The sequence below is a fragment of the Homo sapiens genome, chromosome 13, assembly GCF_000001405.40.
Source record: "Homo sapiens chromosome 13, GRCh38.p14 Primary Assembly".
NCBI classification, from domain to species: domain Eukaryota; kingdom Metazoa; phylum Chordata; class Mammalia; order Primates; family Hominidae; genus Homo; species Homo sapiens.
Genome location: NC_000013.11, coordinates 107,566,644 through 107,587,765, shown reverse-complemented (window position 1 = coordinate 107,587,765; position 21,122 = coordinate 107,566,644). Strand labels below are relative to the sequence as shown.

At 36.8% G+C, this 21,122-nt stretch overlaps 1 protein-coding gene across 1 annotated transcript in view, besides 1 other annotated feature; it reads left to right on the top strand.

The window, feature by feature from the left end:
• NALF1 (NALCN channel auxiliary factor 1) overlaps positions 1-21,122 on the top strand; it is a 703,987-nt gene that overhangs the window by 279,731 nt on the left and 403,134 nt on the right. The window lies entirely within an intron of this gene.
• Positions 12,850-13,513: an enhancer, noted in NCBI's record as "OCT4-NANOG hESC enhancer chr13:108226601-108227264 (GRCh37/hg19 assembly coordinates)". NCBI's record gives its function as "activates a minimal SCP1, AML or CMV promoter by ChIP-STARR-seq in naive and primed H9 embryonic stem cells {active_cell/tissue: H9 hESC(naive and primed)}" and the evidence as "EXISTENCE:reporter gene assay evidence [ECO:0000049][PMID:30033119]".

Below are 21,122 nucleotides of genomic sequence, written 5' to 3'. Positions count from 1 at the left end.
AATAATAAGTTAGTCAAGTGTTGATTCAGATCACATGCCTCTCATTGTTCGTCTCTGGACAAAGTTGTGAAGAATGCTGCATCTCAGACTGCCCATGTTATTGACTTTTTTTAAAATCACCTGGTAATCCCTTTTTCCTCATATCAAATGCAAACACAGCACTTTCTCAGACTCACTTATAAGAGTGCGTTTTTATCCATTCTTACTCTTGCTTTTCCTTTTATTCTCCCTCTGCCCAGCTATAACAAATTGGATTGTGATTTTGTCCACAATTATTATTCCTAAAATGACATTTATATTTGGAATTGTATTTTCATTACAGAGAAACAGGTTAAAAATCAAGTCACAATTGAAATAGGGAAAGAATACCCTGAAAGATATAGTTTAGCAGTAAGTGTATTTGTACACTGATAAACTGATCTTCCGAAGAGACTGTTTATGATTTTGGCAGTGCCTCATTTTTTAGGTCTTTGTCTTTAAGGAACCCACGTGTGGTTGGGGAAAGCACCTCAATCTCTGCAGTTCATATGTAGAAACTCTTATAAGCCTTGTGAGAGGTCTGTGTTCCCTTCCTGACTGTCCTACACCTACTATCTTGAACATCAGAAACACTGATGTTCAAGAACTTTGATTACCCTCATTTATCTGGGAGCTGTGTGACATCTGAGGCACAGTTCTAAGTAGAAGTATCATTCAGAACCAGGAGCAAGAATCAGATACTCGTGAGTAAAGGTCCAAAACTGAGTGGCAATGTAATACTTTTGGTTTTCAAATAAAGAGATTCATAAGATTTATCTAATCAATCTACTAATGCATGGCTCTATATAAGTTTGCTAGCATAATAGATTAATCATGGTAAATCTATTTCTAATCTATTCCTTATAACTTACTATTTCTCCTTCTACTATGACATCTTCATTTTTTGTCTTTAATGCTCATCCATTTTTTCTTCTCTGTACGTGAATCTTAGAGCCCACAGGTAACTGACACAGAATGTTGAGAATAGTAGGATACAAAAAGTAGTGGCATTTTGGAGATCTGGTAGTCCCTTAGACAATATTCCTTACATTTGTCTATTTGGTTTGCTCTCCTGCATTTTGTAGACTCATTCCTAGCAAAAAAAAAAAAAATCTCCATAGGGGAGCTTTAAATGTAGGCAAGAGATCTCTGAGTGATTACTTTTTGAAAATATATTCCTAAAATACAAGTTGAGTAACCTACTTCCCATAAATAGATAAATACAATGATTTATTTAAATAGCCTTTAAAAAATTTGAAATGGACTCATAACAGAATGGTATTCTAAAAGCATGCTGAAGCTGTTGAATTTACTGTTTGGAGTCCCAGTGAATCACAGGGCCGTCACATGCAAACTGTAGACTCATATGTCTTCAAGCTGCATTGACTGCCAGGATCTTTATTAGTAAAGGGGTATAAGACTGCATTTTACAGTGTTTTCGTCTTTTACTAACCATCCTGTGAAGTTGGTAAGATGGTATTGCCCCACTTTGTAAATGAGAAAAGTGGGATTAAGATTCAGTAGTAGTATGTGATGAAGCTGCAGATTCAAACCAGCTTTCCCTATAGATAGCACTTTTCCAAGGGTGCCACAATTCTATGAGGTACCTGGGCCATGAATTCCCTTTCTTTCCATTTTTCTCTTTCACACATAGCCTTCTATATTCAATATAAGTAAAATCAATGCCATTGCTTATCTCCATTTTTGTCACCTGCTGAGGTGACAGGCATTCTTCCAGATCTCAACTTTTCACATTAGATGGTGCAGAATACTAATTTTGAATCCTACCTCTATCATAAGCAAATGTTCCAGTGCTAAACATATGGTCAAAAGTAATTAAATACATGCTTTGCTTGATATTTCAGAGAATTGATATTTTTCCTCAATAGAAAGGATTTTGTGAAATGAGTGATTAAGTTAATGAAATACCATAGAGTGTGTTTATGAAATTGGTATGTGGTAATGGCCGAAAAAATAAACACAAAGAGTGATGTTTTGTTGTTCTGAGGTATTTATTGTCCTTGACTATTATCCAAGAACAGATGGCAGAGGCTGTCAGCTGGGTTATGAGGCCCCAGCAAGCAGGAAGTAGGTGATGATAAATGGCTGGTAATTTCCCATAGTGGAGCCGCCATCCAGAAGGTGCTGTTGAAATGAATCAAAGCTGGGCTAAAACATCATCATTGGAATTTTGTCCAATATTTCATATTTTTTCCTTAAGAAAAGAAAAACACAGAAGCTTTCTCCTTTGCCTCTATGAAACCTTCAGAAAACTGACAGTAATTTGTTGGTTCCTTAAAACAAAATTATTGGCCTTGACTAAGGGTGAAACCTCATATTTCTTCCCAGATACGTTGGATTTTTTTTTTCTATTCTATTTTTTTTCCTGAGAAAGCACTTGGGTTTACCGAGTATTTTTTTTCTTTACTCGCATTTGCCATGCTAGCCTTGATTTGGTTTGTTTGGTTGGTTAAAAGTGTGATCTAGTAATTTCTCAAATTTATCTGTATCTATTTTCAGGTAAAAGAAGAAAAGATATTCTTTATTTGATTTATTTAAACAACTGATTATTAGGAGTATATTTTGGAAAAAAATGACCGGGTTGGATTAAAAGATAGATAAAACATATCTCTTTCGTTCAAAGGAGATTGATATCTTAATATGGTAGGCAAGTTTCTACTATAAAGTCAGAATATATTAGAATTGCAGTTATGTCACATTTTATCTGTGTGTCTACTGCCGATTACTTTATCTTTCTGTGCCTTTTAGAAGGCAGCATTTATAGCATGTAATAGGTAATTAAGAAGTAGTAGCCTAATAGGAAGAAGTAGTGATGGTAACAGTGATGATGATGATGATAATAATAATGGCAATACCAGGCAGTGAAAGAAGCAGGCTGCAAAATAATCTGAAGGACTGTGTTGGGAGGAAAGTGTGAGCAGATATGGCCACCCAGCCTGTGGGCTTCACGTGGAGTGAGGCATGGCACAGGGACCTCCCAAGTGAGTGGCTACGGAAATGATAGTGAGATCTACTTGCTGTTAGAAGTGAACTGCTCCATATATCACAAGTGAAAAATACGAGTAATAAAAAGTATGAGGGCAGTTTAGTCAACATTACAGTGTATTTTAACATCATTTCATACAGTAATAAGGGATGAGAATAATCTGATACTTGACATTCCCATAAGAAGCAATCATTTAAAAGCCTCTTCTAACTGTTGTCCATCTTTAACATATTAATCACTGCTTCCTTTAGGTTTGATTTATGATGTTAAACTGCAGGTGTAAATTGATGAATGAATACAGAAAAATAAGGGTTTTTCAAGTCTAAAATTTAGAAGAAAACTCATATTCTTAAACAGGCATGCATTAAAATACTTTCAATTATTTCACCCTGGAAGGACCTTGCTTATTAGTGATAGCTTTAGACTATCCAACTTTCCAAATCACAGTTTCTGTTAAATCTCTTAAATAACTGTGATATATGTCTAATTTTCATGTGTATCAGGTACGTATTAATCTTATATTCACAGATGATTATTTGACCAATTTCCTTTTCCCTATGTTCATTCATTTCAGAAAATGCATATTTCACAGGATAGAGAGACTATTTATTGAGAGTCCCTAGGTCATAGCACATTTTTAAACGATTTTCCATAAATTTAAAGTATAGATTCTATATGTTCAGGTACCAGATATCCTTCAAAATTTCACCTAAAGTCCTGGATGGCAATTATGCCTCATTGCTATATACTCCCTTATGAAAGATAAAGGGTATTTAAGATGATTTTTTTGTCCTTAGAATAGGGGTGTAGAAAACCTCTCTCTTTACCTGGGAGCCAAAGAAGAAAGTTAATGAGGAAAAGAGAGAAACAGGGCCAGGGAAAAAGCTGCATTCTGTAGCAGGGGAAAGAAAGGTTACAGGGTATTTTGCTAGACAGTAACTCTTGGAGACACATATTGCTTTGAAAATTTGTACCCCTTTCAAACTTATAAACACACTCTTTGTAATAGTCCTTGGAGGTTAAGTACTTCCAAAAATGTGTATTTACTGATGCCAGGTAAAGAATCCTGGCTCTCTTTAGGTAAGAGAATGCTGATAGTCATATGTGCTCACAGTGTATTTTTAATATCAGTTACACTGAGAGCTCAAACAATTTGTTTATTTCTAAAAGTTCACATCTTGAAACTGGTCTTAAAATCACAATAGCCATTGTAATAGTCTTGTTCTGATGGATCACTCCTGCTACATTATATCATTGGCCACACATCCAAAAGACATAAAAATATTTAAAATATGAAAGCAGAGGTCATGCCTCTTTTACCAAATCATATTTCATAACTTAAAAGTGATCTGAACAAAAATATCTTAGAATAAAAATTTAACTTGTTTGACAATGTAAAAATGTTGATAACATTATTTGAACATTTATTTAGACCCTGAAGTGGAGAAGCGTATCATTAAACTCATTCTTGCAAAAATACATATGCATTGTAAATCTTAAAATTTATAAATTATATATTTATATAACATTATGTTTCATAAATAGCATAATGTTATATGTCTATATGTCTTATCTATCAAATTCAGAATCTTTATTTCCTTCTGACTCTCTAAAAGAGACAGAGAAAAGAGGGAGGAAATTGTAATGAAATCTTTCAAGAAGTGTTCCTGTAAATGATGAAACTAGTCCTACTCCTATATGCATTGCTGAGATATTTCAAGCCATAAATGATGAAAGGATGATTCCAAAAGCTTCCAGAGAGGGGGGAAAAGGTGATATACCAGGAATCAGAGGTCAGAATGGCTTTGGATTTCTCAACAGCAAAACCCAGGTGAGAAAGCAGTGTATGGAGCAGTGTGTGGATGTGCACGCGTAGACTCATTTTAGGCTACACATTGATTACACATGAAAGTTTCAAACTGAATTATACAGGATTTTCTTTTTATTTAAGGGAGTCATAATGAACGTATTATTCTTAGAATTCTTTGATCTTAAATATGAACTCCACATTTTAAGTATGCACATTTGCTTAAAAGTACAAGAAATATTTCATGTATATATTTTCAAAATTACTTTGAATCTTTCCTTACATTAAATTTTAAGAAAAGAAACAATTTGTAACCATAGGTTGAAGTTGAAACAATCTTCTTTAAATTCTGACCCCATAGCCAGTCATGCCTCCTGCCCCAAATTCAACTGGCACTGCACCGTGCTTGATTTTTGACATTTCCTGATTTTCTCTTGCTCCTGGATAGTTTGCAAGGGTTATCTTTTGGAACTGGAATGTTCTCAGCCTTTGGGACTAGATGCAAGTGTTATCTGCCTGTGAATCCCTTCCTGCTTCTCTGACAATGCAGTGGCACTTCTGTAACACGTGTATTTCTGGCGTCACTGTCATGTTTGTTACCCTCTGTGGTATTTGTGTGTTTCTTCACACAGTAGTGTTATATTATGGACAAAGCAGGGCCCATGCCTTATCCAGGCTTCTGCCCTATGCCTTTCTTAATGTCTACTTCGGAGTCATTAAGGACTTTGAAAAATGAATCTATTTTAAAGGATTTATGTCATTTATGGTAATTTAGGCACCATGAGTCAACAAAATTATCTTTCTCATTATTTTTGAAATTTTATATATAGTGTAGATAATGTGTTTCATATCCAGAGATTTTGGCTAAGCAACCTACAGCACTGGAGAGTTCAACAAGAATGTAGAATGAAACACAGAATTCCTAGAAGCAAGCCTATAATTCTGGAGTAAATGAGTCACATGAAAAGTAAATGTCCAAAGGCATCTTTTGTGGGAATGATCACCATAGGCTGAAATTGCGAGGAACTAGAACAATTATTATTATGGATTTGTGTAAGACGATAGGTGAGAACAGTCACCAAAAATGGGAGACTATTTTAATGAACTGTATGTGAATTGATGAGGGTCTGATATGGTGTCAGAATAGAAAAATAGATACAATTTGCTTATGAAGAAAAATAGATGCAATTTGCTAGTTGTAATAGATGCCATTTGCTTATGAGCTGTACAGGGCTCAAGGACCTGCTTGCAAGGATATATCCATTATCCAGACATGTATTGGAATATACACTCATTTTGTTTTATTAAAACTTAGTTCCAACCAGAACTAGATTGATGTTTCCTTCTTCATAATTTGGATCCTTCTCTCTTTACACAATTTTCTTGTAGTACACAAGGTTTTATGTGTCAGTTTTTAATTAAATTAGCAAGACCATTGATTTTGGAAGTTTATTTGATATGCTGTGATTGCTTTCCTCTAGACAGAACAGATAAACACTATATTATGCTTTCAAGACATATATAATAATTAAGACAAATGCTAAGTAGGAAGCTCAAAGGTATGAATCAGATACGGAATGATAGTGCACTAAGTTACAGAGCTTTCCTTTGTTGATTCTGTTCCCCCTGTTCTGGTCCTTAATGGTGTTACTTTTTTGTTTACACAAAAACATATCACATGGTCACATTTGCATAATACCAAGAAGAGACAATGACACAGCAGTTGCCCAGCCTTTGACAAATACCGTCTTGAAACAGTGGTCAGCTTGCCTTAGCTGAATCAAAATGCGTCCGAGGAACAAACAACGTGAACAAAACAGGAGACGTAACTCTATTTTTAAATTTTTTCTTGAAAAAATCATTTCCTAGTCTTAGTTTTCACAGCCAGAGCCTTTTACGTTGCTCTTATCTGGGTTTACCGTATTTTGACTATTTTTCTCTGGTCTCCAACTCATTTAAAGCCTTTCTTGGCTCCTGTTCAGACTGGCACCGACAAGGGCAGTGTTTCTCCCATTGTTAAGGTGACTCTTTCTTTCTTTTTGTTCCTTGGCTCTTTCTCTTTGACTCTTGAATCATCACCAAGTCTGTAGTCCTTGCTGGTCAAAACCTGGCTGTCTTTTCCACTGTTGTTAAAATGTTTAGTTATAATTCAGGAAGAGGAAAACAATCTGTGCATTAAACATGATTCTCCAAAGTTTTAAGCTTTTTCCTCAAAACTTGAAAGAATATATGATTAATTTGATCCATTATTTGCTGTGCCAGGCCCAAGAAATAAAGCCACAAGCAAGAAAACATTCTTTCTTTCATAAAACTGAGAGTCTTAAGGAAAGAGTCAAAAATCTGACATACCGAAAATAATATGAGAGAGTAAAGAGGACAATGAAGAAAATTAAAGTGGGTGCTGATGTCATGCATGTGGGGTGGGAAGTGCTACTTTTGAACCGTCAGCTGGAGCAGACCTGTGGGAGAGGTGCCATTGGGCTTGACACATGAATGATGAAGAGGATAGGGCCCTGCACACAATTCAGGCAGAGCTTTCCAGGCATGAAAAAGGCAGATGCTAAAGCCCTGGGGTGGGAAATAGGTAAAAGTATTATGGAGAAAAAGGAAGACATTAATGGAGTTTGGTGTTTGAAAAGAAAGGCCCCAGAGTGTGACGTTCCCCTTCCTGTGTCCATGTGTTCTCATTGTTCAATTCCCACCTATGAGTGAGAATATGCGGTGTTTGGTTTTTTGTTCTTGTGATAGTTTGCTGAGAATGATGATTTCCAATTTCATCTATGTCCCTACAAAGGACATGAACTCATCATTTTTTATGGCTGCATAGTATTCCATGGTGTATATGTGCCACATTTTCTTAATCCAGTCTATCATTATTGGACATTTGGGTTGGTTCCAAGTCTTTGCTATTGTGAATAATGCCGCAATAAACATACGTGTGCATGTGTCTTTATAGCAGCATGATTTATAGTCCTTTGGGTATATACCCAGTAATGGGATGGCTGGGTCAAATGGTATTTCTAGTTCTAGATCCCTGAGGAATCGCCACACTGACTTCCACAATGGTTGAACTAGTTTACAGTCCCACCAACAGTTTAAAAGGTGGGGGAGGGGGAAGGGATAGTATTGGGAGATATACCTAATGCTAGATGACGAGTTAGTGGGTGCAGCACACCAGCATGGCACATGTATACATATGTAACTAACCTGCACATTGTGCACATGTACCCTAAAACTTAAAGTATAATAAAAAAAAAATATGAAATCAGCTAAAAAAAAAAAGAAAAATAGCTTAATTGTCAAATAAAAATTGGACATATTTAAGGTTAAAAAGAAAAGAAAAGAAAGGCATCAGACTGTGAGGTGAAAGGAAGGCAGGAAAGAGACACAAGGGGCCATGTGGCCAAGGGGAGAGGGTGGCCTGGATTCTCACAACAGAGACTTTGCTTTTCTCTTTGCTCTGTCTCCAGTGACCACATAAGGAGGGGGCACAGTGCCCTCAGGAAGACCTGAATGGATATTGATTATGAAAATGAATATTATGGCCAAGTGCAGTGGCTTATGCCTGTAATCCCAGCACTTTGGGAGGCCTAGGCAGGCGGATCATCTGTGGTCAGGAGTTCAAGACCGGTCTTGCCAACATGGTAAAACCCTGTTTCTACTAAACACACAAAATGAGCTGGGCGTGGTGGCGTGTGCCTGTAATCCCAGCCACTCCAGAGGCTGAGGCAGGAGAATCACTTGAACACAAGAGGTGGAGGTTGCAGTGAGCTGAGATTGTGCCACTGCACTCCAGCCTGGGCAACAAAGTGAGACTCTGTCTCAAAAAAACTGAATATTGAAATAGAGAGGTGATTATGGAATGTTAGCATGAAAGCATGGAGAAAACTTAGGGTTTGTAGTAATTCAGGCAAAGTACAATGATGGCTTGGAGCAGAGTGACAGTAATTGAGAAGGAATATGGTAGAAATAAATGGACTTGCTGATGGCTTATACATGGAAGATGGGAGAAGTGCAAAATCCACAATAAGAATAATCTTTGGCTTGGGGCTCTAAAGGGTACAAACATAGCAGCATACTTAAGAAATGAAATACAAATCAGTTAAGAATCTGTGATTTTCAACACACAGTATAGTTCTACATATTCATACGAGTGGTTCCGTCTTCCAAAATTCAGATGCTACTTAGAAGATTAGCAGTATTTATTATTTTTATATTAAAGATAACTCATTTTAATATGTACTATGGAACACAGGTAAAAATAAATAAGATTCATATCACAATGATACAACAATCTAGTTGATAGGTAATATATAAGATTTTCATTTATGGAAAGCATCAAGGCAATATATAATGAGTATGAATTAAATGCCAGAATGATTGCCTGGGCTGAGGTTGTTGTGGTAGAGGATATAAAAGAAGTTTTGAGACAGAATTCAAAACATTTGTTCCATTCAAGTAAGTATAAGAGAGGAAAGCATCCTAGGCCAATGAAAACATCACAAGAAAGGATGAAAAATTACTCTATTAGAATGTTGAATGAATTGAAATTTGACACACATCAAAAGGACTAGTCCAAAATGAGTAAATTTATTTCAACACGGCAAGACTAATGTCAAACCACTTAGAAAAATTGTCCATGAGGGAGAGAACAGGGTACTGTGCTAGGGTAGAAACAACCAGAAAAAAATAAAAGTTGATGGATTTAGGACTTATTTGTAAAGAAAAGGTGGAAGAACATGTCAACAAACGGAATGACAACAGCAAATAAGTGGAGACTATCAGAGATTCAAATGTTAAGTTCCAGTGACTGGAGATTGGATACACAATGAGTAAAACGAGGAGGCAAGAATTGGGAAGAGGAGATAGCACCAATCAATTTTAGACCTGTAGAATTTCAGGTCTTGGTGAAACCCCACAGGAGATACTTTTAGATGAATGGAATCTCAAAGGGTTTTAAGCTGGAAATTTGCATCTAAAGGGAAAAATTAGAACTGCTACTTGATGATGAAAGGATGGAGGCTACCAATGAAAGGGTAGCCTAAGAAGGTGGGCAAGGATAGGAGCCCACTCAAGCGATGAAGGAAGAGGAAGAACCAGAACGTACACAGGGAGGTGAAAATGGAACTTGAAGAGATCCGGGATGAAGCAGCATTTAAGAAGCTTATGGGCTTGGGTGGGAGAGTTTCAAGAACGGGGTGGTCTTTACAACATACAGGTCACAGAAAACTTGAGGGAGAGAAAATGTAACAAAAAATAGATCTTCCAAATCAGCTAATAAGGAGATCTTCCCAGTAGAGGCAAGAACACTTAGGATCATTCTTTAAATCACAGAGCTAATAAATTCAGTGAGGGTTAATATGTAGATCGCTTTTCAAAAGAATTATGAACACACCTTTCCTGGATCACAGATTACCTAGTTTTGGGGTTTTCTACTGACTTGATAATTTGGGGGTATTGCAGATATCTAGCTTTCTCTCCCAAACCTATGTTCCTTTCTTCCTGGTTTTGCATGCTAGTCTCCAAGAACATGTATCAGCCCCTTGTTGCTCCTAGGTGTGGCCACCTGACCAGTTTCCAACCAACTTTAGAGGAACAGGCAGATCTGTGAGATTTGCATATACCTTGCTTGAAATTGCTTGCCTTGTGTTTCACCTTTCCCCACATCTTAAAGTTGGAGCTCAGACTTGATGGTGAACCACCTTCCAACATGCAGATGAGAATGATGAAATTTTAAAGTCCAAGTTAGTTTCGCCTTCTACCTCTGGAACTGGACGATGTCAATGGTAGAAGATGGAACTAACCTGGACTCCAAAATATCTTTCTGGAGCCAAGCCTTCATGCCAGCCTGGTTTGCCCACTCCCAGTTTATTATATGAAAAAGAAACAAGTTTATGTTACTTAGGTCAGAGAATAGTAGGCCCTTTTTGTTATAAAAATGTGCCTATTCTCTAATTTATTTAAGGGAATTGACCCCGAGTTTACTTAACTCCCTTCCTTGTAATGCTGGCTCCTATTTTCTCACTCCCATGAGAAGGCTTGCTCGCAGAAGATTTTGACAGAGTAGGAACAATTGGTAAGTCAATCCTACACTGAGACTACGAAATATTTATTTTCTACACTTTTGTTTTTCCAAACTCCTTGTCACTTGTCATTTTTAATACATGGCATCCCATTTCACACCTGCCTCTATTGTGCCAGTGATTCTTTTCCTCCTAGAATGGCCTTTCCAATTTGTCTGGCTGATTCTACCGAATTTCACAGAGTCCAGATCATGAAGCCTTCCCTGAGTCACCTAGAAAATTAATCATTTCCTTCCTTGACCCATATGTATGTGACCCACATGCAAGACTCTGTATGTAGTCTTACTGTAGCCTATCACAAGAGTGGTAACTATTTTTTGATGTTGGTTTTCTCTACAGAATGGACTCCTTGTTGAGAAGATAGCATGATTTATTTATCTGTGGTTTCCCACCCTCACCCTTTAGAGTTCCTGACATGTAGTAGGGTATAAACTTAGTCCAAGCAAAGATTTCTTAAGAGAATAGAAAACAAATGAGCAAATAAACAAAAAAACACTTTTCTTTGTTTTCAGGTAAAGATCCTTTCACTGTTAGGAATTTTAAAGCTGGGAAGGAAGGATGTTAGCAAACATGTATAAATTAGCAATTCAATGGTTATCCTCTATAAGAAGAGCCAATCATTATCTGCAATGATAAGACCTGTCAGAGAAATTTTCTTTCATCATTAAATAATAAAGCTAAAGACTATGGTAGAGCGCATTTCCTGAACTCAAGTAGGGCAGAGAACATAATGAGGTTTGATCCTGTCACTGTTTTATTTATCCCTCTGCTCTGGATCAGGACTGAGACACAAAATGTGTTACACTTGCACAAAGATACAAACACGTACAGACACAGGTACACACACACACATATACATGCACACACACATATGCACACACACACACCCAACACACACATACACATACACACACATGCACACATATAAACATACACGCCTAGACACACACACCTCTTCCCAAACATACGTCTTTGCACTTCATTTTATACCCAGACTGTGTTCTATGGCAATCTCAAACTGAAATCCGGACTCCAAGGCTTATGTTACAGATGAAAAGTAAAATCACCTTAGATGCTACAATTTTGTTAATACTGCAAAATCTGATTTTTTCACACACCCTCTCCCACTACAGACTGATGGCTGAAAGTGACAGCCAGGAGTCCATCTTTAACAAAATGGAAAAATGGGAGAGAAAGGATCCCGAGGAATGCAAAGGGAGTGGGGGAAATGGGCTACATCTAGCAGGGAATGGCATAGCATGGGTGACGAGGGCAAGTTGTTTATATGGAGCCTTCTTGGCTTTCCATTTCCTAGGCAGTGTGCTGCCAGCCTTAGTATTTTGTGGTAATTTTTGCTCTTCAGGATGTATAGAAGAACCAGGTCAGGGACTCTCTGCTAAAATTGTAGAAAGGGGCTCATGGGATGGTGCCCTGGAGAGACAAGAGCCTTTCTGGAATGGGCTCTGGTTCTAGTTCCTCTTTGACCAGATTGACTTTGGGCAACTCACTCCATAGCTTTGCACCTAAATCTTTTTAAATGCAAATTGAGTGGATCCTACCAAATGGACTTGAAGTCCCTTTGTCTAAGATTCTGTTCTGTTTTTTTCCCCTGAACTCTACCAGTTTTGATAAGGTGAAAAATTCACCAAAGTTCTAAGGCTCTCTTCTATTACCAAATGACCCATTTATCTAAGTCTGTGTTATCATCCTAATTTTCCAGTGTTAGTGGAAAATGGAATTTCACGGTGGGCCTTGTGCACTTAGGTCTTGATTATGCCCTTGCTCCTCGTACGGTGAAAATAGTTAGACTCGCTTCCTAAGCCTCAGGAAATATATTATGGCATGCATCCAGGAGTTTTGTTGGCTGAGGATAGTAGTCATAATGCGCAAGATATTTCAACTGTAAGAATAATTATTGGTCACTTTACTATCTCTAAGTTGTCAAAAACTTCTCATGTGCCTACCCTAGATTGTATATACTTTCTTTTCCAAATCTCTGTTTTACATGGAGTCAAGTTTCCATTTGTAATTTAAAGATAACATCTTTGCTAAGGAAAGGCTGTTCATTGATATGCAGATTGAGAAATCAGCGTGTCCTTTAGGGATTTCAAGCTGTGGAATCAACCAAAAGTCTGCAGAATAATAGGACCCTTGAGCCTTTTATGATTGTAAGACTTTGATCTGCTACCAACAGGTCACTCAATTTTATCTTTGAGCCTCACTTAATGTGAAAAAGTGAAGCCTGATCTCCAGTAAGTGCTTTTAATGCAGAAGTAATGGTCTTACCTCCAAATAAGAGTCCTCATTTATATATTCATTGCACAAGATCACTTGTAAAGATTCAATGACCATATTTAACATTTACTGAGTACTTGTGTTTGCAGATGCTAAGAATATACCAGCCATCAAGAAAGAGCTTCTGTTCTCCTGCAACTTGTAGTCTAGTTGGGGTTTGGAGAGAAGAAATAGGCAACAAACAAGTGAACAATTAATCATAAAGGCATCATTGTCAGGTGATGATAAATGATAGAATAAAAATGGTATAGGATAGGGTAACAGAGAATGATGGGGCTATGACATTAGCCTACTCAAATCTCTTTGAGTAGTTTTTCATTCAAGATTATATTTTGATGCATAAAACAGAAACTCCAAAACAATACTGGCTGAAGCAGGACAAAAATTTGTTTCTCTTTCATCTCATATATTTGCAGAAGTAGGCATGTCATATATTTTTATGTCATATATTAGTAGAAGTAGACAGAACTCTTACACTGGGGACCTAAATACCATATACCTTTATTGTTTTTTGTTTTCATGTTCTACTATTCTGTGTCCCAGATGATTTTACTGTAGCAAGAAAGAGCGATGGGGGAATGTATTAGTCTGTTCTCACACTGCTAATAAAGACATACCCAAGACTGGGTACTTTATAAAAGAAAGAGGTTTAATTGACTCACAGCTCCACATGGCTGGGGAAGACTCACAATCATGGTGGAAGGTGAGTGAGGAGCAAAGTCACATCTTACATGGCAGCAGGCAAGAGAGCACATGCAGAGGAACTCCCCTTTATAAAAGCATCAGATCTCATGAGACAGACTCACTATCATGATTACAGCATAGGAAAGACCAGATGCCATGATTCAATTACCTCCGACCAGGTCCCCCCCATGACATGTGGGAATCGTGGGAGCTACAATTCAAGATGAGTTTTGGGTGGGGACACAACCAAATCATATCAAGGAAAGAGTAGCTAAACCTTCTCTGAGTAGCATTCCTGGACATCACCTACAAGTTCTGCTATAAATCACTACTCAGAAATTAGCTACGTTTCCATATCTGGATGTAACAGTGAGGCAGAAGTGCAGTCTTTTAGCTGAGAACATTGGTAAAAAGAAGAGAGGTATATTTGGTGCAGTAGGTATTTGCCCCAGTCATCAATTATGTGCCAAGTACTGTGGGTGTTCTTATTCCCCAGGTCAGCAGTTTTTACTGCTCTATACCTTAGCAACATAAGAATTATAAGGAAAGCCAAATTTTAAGAGAGATCTACACCAAAATGTACAAGATAAAAAAATTAGATAAATAAGAGCAGAAGTATGTTAGGAAAGTGTTAAAACAATTTGGTGTGCTTACTACCATTGGAAGCAATTCTGTTCTAATACTAGTTCTGTGGGCTCTTGGCTGCTGTGGTCAGAGGTCTAGAGCAACATAGCACAGGAGGATAAACAGGGAGGTCGTTTCACAGACAGGAAGCAGACACAAAGGCCCTCAGAAGAAGGTGTGTGTTGTGTGTTTGAAGAAGAGCAAGGAAGAGTCCCGGATGGTTGCAGGGTGGACAGTGGGGAGCAAGGCTCATGACAATTTCGAGAAGTACCAGGAGATGGGGTCTGGAAGAGCCCCGTAGGCTGTGGGTAGCACTTTCGATGTTACCCTGAGTGGGATGAGGAAGTCACTGGCATGTTTTGAAGAAGAGAGTGACATGATTTGACATATGTTTTAAAAGAAAAGTATCTCTTGTATGAATTATTTTTTAAAAGAGATAAATTAACATAAAAATGAATGATGAATTTGGTTTTCGACCTAGATATGCCATTTTATAAATTAGCGTGTTCTCGGAACTTCAAAAGTGCCATTTGTCTCCCAAAATGAAGAGTTTATTTGCTAATTAGTTCACTCAAAGTAGGGCTAAGGAAATAACATGTCTGTAAAAAACAATGAAAGGCCTGAGATTTTACCCTCCTTGCAATGTGACGAGTTCTCCTGCCACAGTTTAATGGATGCTGGTAGAAGTCACGAGAATCCTGGATCGGCACAAAGGGAATTTTGTTACTCACAGAATAGCAACAGACAGACTGCCACCATTTTTGTGACAGTTTTTTTGAGCCCCAATTCCCACAGGGGTAACATCAAGAGAGCCAAGTGACCCCTGCCCACCCAGTGCATTGCATTACAGCAGAGGCAGCTTGAAATTAGGAAAACAAATCATTTATAATGGGCAGTAAGTATCCCCCTGCCCTTTGTTTGCTCCATGGAGACAAACTTTCTCTGCCTCCCAGGGTCGTTCATTACCAGAAGGTCGTTGAAAAAAATAGACCAGAACAAGAGAGTCAGTGCCTCCTCACAAGATATGCAGAAAGGCAAGAGCTTCTGGAGAATTATTTCCCATAAATGCAATTTTAGTAGTATCATTTTAGGATATTAATATGAATGTATTTATGCAAGATATACCAATTATATTATTTATCAATTATCATGTTAATGTGAATTATAGATTTTTGTGTATGGTTTTAGGATATTAATAGGAAATGCTATTTATAGTGATAGTTGACGTGCTAAGGTACCTTAGAAGCATTGAGAATACTTTGTAATTTGCTACACACACGTTTCTCAATATGATTTCTACAAATCGATGATTTGGAGCACCTTGGATTTTAAAAAGGCAATTAAAGAAAAAACTACTCTTCTACTCAAACATAACACTTCTACTCATATAGAAACCAAATGTGTAAGTTATTTGCACACCAAGCAATTCTCAAATTATCTTTACCCACCAACTGGGGTGCCCTACAATTCAGTACCACTCTAATAGTAGCTACCTGGAGTTAACACAGATCCCACACACATTATTGGCTCATTTCTATAATACTTTCCCCATTTCAGTCTCAAGTCCGAAGTTGTCACCTGTAACTTCTGACTAGCATGAACCCCTTCTTCAGTTCAATAAATTGCTATAATGGCCCAAAGAACTCAAGGAAACACTTTACTTACTAGTTTATTACAAAAGGCACAACTTAGGAAAAATCACATGAAAGAGGCAAGGTATGGGGCAGGGGCACGGAGCTCCCATCTACCCAGACGTACCACTCTCCCAGGTCCTCCATGTGTACACCAAGCCAAAAACTCTCCAAACCCCATTATTTAGGGTTTTTGTGGAGGTTTCCTTTCCTAATTATGATTGATTAAATCACTTGGCATTGGTGATCAAGTCAATCTCCAGCCCCTCTCCTCTCCCCAGAGGTCCAGGGTTGGGACCAAAATGTCCAGCTACTCTAATCATACTTTGGTCTTTCCAGTGATGAGTCCCAAGCATCCAAGGGTCACCTGATTAGTATAAATTCAGGTATGGTCAAAAAGGAGTTATTATGAATTAAAAAAAGACACTTCTCTCACCTGGACCATTCAGGAAATTCTAAGGATTTTATGATTTAAGTGTCAGGAACTGGGGGCAGAAACCAAACATATATTTCTTATTATGCTGCAACAGTATTATTTCTTGTCTTATACATGATGTTTGTAAAAGTATTTTCATTTCAAATAATGTTTTCCCATCTATTTCAGCTCTAATTTTAGGGTTGTGTTGCCATAGCAATTCATAAGAACTAAAATATACAAATCTCATTGAAGAATCCTAAGATTCTTTATCTTTTTTTCATGTCTAACATGCAATGGAAGGAGCCTTTCATTCTCTTTTAAAATTCCTGTAAAAATTTAGTGCAAAGGATATAGCTGTTTATATTCATTTAAAATAAATATATGTACAAAATATAAATTCTGATTTTACTGCAAGTGTCTATTAATATTAAAGCTACACAATATTTCCTCTGTGAAATATATCAGGTAATAATTTTTTAAAGTCTTATGTACCAATGATATGCTTTCTTTGCTTTTAAAAATAAATATGTTCCCCAGCATGGCACATGTATACATATGTAACTAACCTGCACATTATGCACATGTACCCTAAAACTTAAAGTATAATAATAATAAAATAAAATAAATAAATAAATAAAAGAAAAAAATAAATATGGAGCACGTGGGATTTATTTCAGGAATACTAGGCTGGTTCAATATTTGAAAATCAATCTAATCCATCGTATCAAAAAATTAAAGGAAAAAATTATGGGATCATATCAATTTACACAGAAAAGACATTTGACAAAATTCAGTACGTGTTTATGATAAAAATTGTCATTATACTAGGAATAGAGAGAGCTTCCTCAGCTTTATTAAAAACATCAATATAAAGTCTGTATCTACGATCATACTTTATGGTGGAAGAATGAATGATTTATCTCTGAGATCAGAATTAACATGAGGATGTCTGCTTTTCTCACTGCTATTTAATATAGCACTGGCAGTTCTAGTCTCAGCTGTAATGCAAGAAAAAAAAAAGCATATACATTGGAAAGGAAGAAGTAAAACTTTCTGTTTGTAGATGACATGATTATAGAAAACACCAAGGTGTACAGCAATTAAAACAACTTTTTAAAATTAATAAATGAGTTCAATAAGGTCATAGAACCAAAAGTTACCTAAAAAAGTCAATTGAATTTCTTTATACTATCAAGGAACAAATTGAAACAGAGATTTTTTTTAAAAAAAATACAATGTCTTTGCAGTTTTTCAAAGGAAAATAAAACATGTACAGGATCTATATGATGAAATCAAAGAAGACCTAAACAATTAGATATATCATGTTCATGTATTGGAAGACTAATATACTAATGGTGTCAATTCTTAACAAATTGATAGACAGGTTTAAGGCAACTGCTATTAAAATCTCAGCATGTTTCTTTATAAACAGACAACTTAAAGTTAATTCTAAAATGTACGTGAAAAGATAAAGACTCTAGAATATTCAAGACAATTTTGAAAAGGAAGAATAAAATGGGAAGAATCACTCTTCCTGATGTTAGATCTTACTCGATAGATGCAGTAATCAATACAGTGCACCCCCAACAGAACGATAGACTCATAGATAAATGGAACAGAATAAAGAATCCAGAAATAGATCTACAGAACTATGCCAAACAGATTTTTGGTGAAGAACAAAACTAATTCGGTGGATGAGGGGTAGCCCTTTTTTTCTTTTTTTTTTTGAGACGGAGTCTCGCTGTGTCGCCCAGGCTGGAGTGCGGTGGCGCCATCTCGGCTCACTGCAAGCTCCGCCCCCCGGGTTCACGTCATTCTCCTGCCTCAGCGTCCCGAGTAGCTGGGACTACAAGCACCCACCACCACGCCTGGCTAACTTTTTGTATTTTTTTTAGTAGAGACGGGGTTTCACCGTGTTGGCCAGGATGGTCTCAATCTCCTGACCTCGTGATCCACCCGCCTCGGCCTCCCAAAGTGCTGGGATTTCAGGCGTGAGCCACCACGCCTGGCTGTGGGGTAGCACTTTTAATAAATGGTTATGGAGCAATTAGATATTCAAAAGAGGAAAGATAAACTTTGACCTGTATCTCACACTTTATATGAATCCCACGCCTTACTCAAAATAGTTTGTAAATTTAAAATATAAAACTATAAAACTTTTAGAAAGGACAGAGAAAATCTTTGCTACCTAAAACTAGGCAAATAGTTCTTAGATTGGACATCACAAGCATAATCCATAGAGGAAAACTTGATAAATTGTGTTTAATCAATATTTTAAAAAATGTTCTGCAAAAGACTGTTATAAAGATAAAATCACAGACTGGAAGAAAATATTTACAAATTGCATATCTGACAATGACCTTGTATTTAGAATATATAAAGAACTTTCAAAATTCAACATTCAAAAAATCCAGTTAAAAATACTCAAAAAACATGCACAGACATTTCACTAAATAGGATATACAGTTTGAAAATAAGCACATAAAAAGATCTTCATCATTAACCAGTAGAGAAATGGCTATTAGAACTACAATGAGAAATTAGTACATATCTATTAGAGTGACTAAAATAATAAATAGGAATAACATTAAATGCTGGTAAAGATATAAAAAATGGATCTCTCATATAGTGCTAGTGGATACGTAAAATGGTACAGCTATTCCAAAAATAGTTTGGTACTGCCTTTCAAAACTAAAAATGGACATACCATACAACCCAATAATTGCACTCTGAGGCACACATTCCAGATAATAAAGACTGATTTTTATGCAAGAACTTAAACCTGAATGTTCATAGCAGCTGTATTTGTGATAGCCCCTAACAGGAAATGATTCAAAAGTCTTTCAGTGAGAGAAAGGTTGAACACCATGTGGTATATCCACAGAATGAAAAACTGTCCAGCAATAAAAAGGGAACAAGGCTGCGTATGGTGGCCCACACCTATAATCCTAACATTATGGGAGGCCAAGGTGGGAGGATTCCTTGAGCCCAGGAGCTAGAGACCAGCCTGGGCACCATGGTGAGACTCCATCTCTACGAAAAAATTAAAATAAATTAGCCAGGCATGGTGGTGCATGCGTGATGTGCCAGCTACTCCGGAGGCTGAAGCAGGAGGATTGTTTGAGCCCATGAGGTGAAGGCTGCAGTGAGCCCTGTTCACACCACTGCAATCCCACCTGGGCCCCAGCAGACAGAGAAAGACACTGTCTCAAAAATAAACAATAAATAAAAAGAGAACAAAACATTGGTATACAAAAATAACAACTTGGATCACTATCAAGGAAATTACAGAGTAAAATAGCCCTTCTCAAAAGGATACAAATCACGTAGTTTCATTTATGTAACGTTTCTGAACTAACATAATCACAGAGATGAAGAACAGATTAGGGATTGGCAGGTGTTAGAGATGGGAGGGTGGGTTTGGCTATAAAGGGGTAATTTTAGGGAGATTCGTGTTAATGCTAGATAGAGTATTTTGATTTTGGTGGTGGTTACTCAAAGCTACACCTGTAACAACTGCATAGAGCTACAGACACACCCATTCAACCACAAGTACAGAAGAGTGCATGTGTAATGGTGAGATCTTAACAAGTTCTAGGGGTATTAGACATGTCAGTTTCTTGGTTTTGAATTTTACCTTAGTTGTAGAAAATATGTACAAGATTTCTCTGAGTAGTCATCTGTAACCTTCTATGAATCTGTATTTATTTCAAAGTGAAAAGTTAACAGAAAATGTGAAGTTGGGTGTCATGTCAAGTAGACAATCAGGCCAATATATGTTGTTGCTTAATGTCTAATTAATTTCTGACTTGAGGTCCTAGTAAGTCTTTTATTTTTATTTTTTAAAAAGGCTAAATATAATATTAACATTAGATGAGATCGTCATAAATTGTCAAAATTTGCTATCAATTAAAATATGTCTAATACATTTTGGTAAGTATGGGGAAGAATCTATATTCAGCATGTATATATACAGATAGTGTACATATAGCTCATTTTAATTTTAAAACAAATATATGAAACTGAGTTTTTAAAAAATAATTTTAACTACGTTATCACATATAAGGACAAAATTGGAAGAATGTTCATTAAACTGTTGAAGACAGTTATTTCAGGAGTGTAGCATTTTTTCATTTCTTTCATTATGTTTGTCTTTAATATTTGTTATTTTTATGCCTTTGTAATTTTTTCTTTTAATCAGAAAAAATATAGGAAAAATAAAATAAAATGAACCCTGGCATCAACTTGTAGACCAAAATACAGCAGTCTTTTGAATACATTGACTCAAAATGTACTAATATATCCGTGTTGGGCAGCTGGCCTGGACAGAAGCCGCTCAGGGCACTGCCTCGGGGTTCTCCAGCCTTAAAAAGTGGATCATGCCTGCAAATGTCAAATCCACTCTGTTCACACAGCTCTCTTTAGGATTACCTAATGGTACTCTATGAAATTGGAAATCGGAAAAAAATATGACAAAATCATTCGTTAGAAAGGATTAAAAGCATCCCTGGATCAATGGTATGCAAATAAAAGACATATTTAAAGCACATTCTGA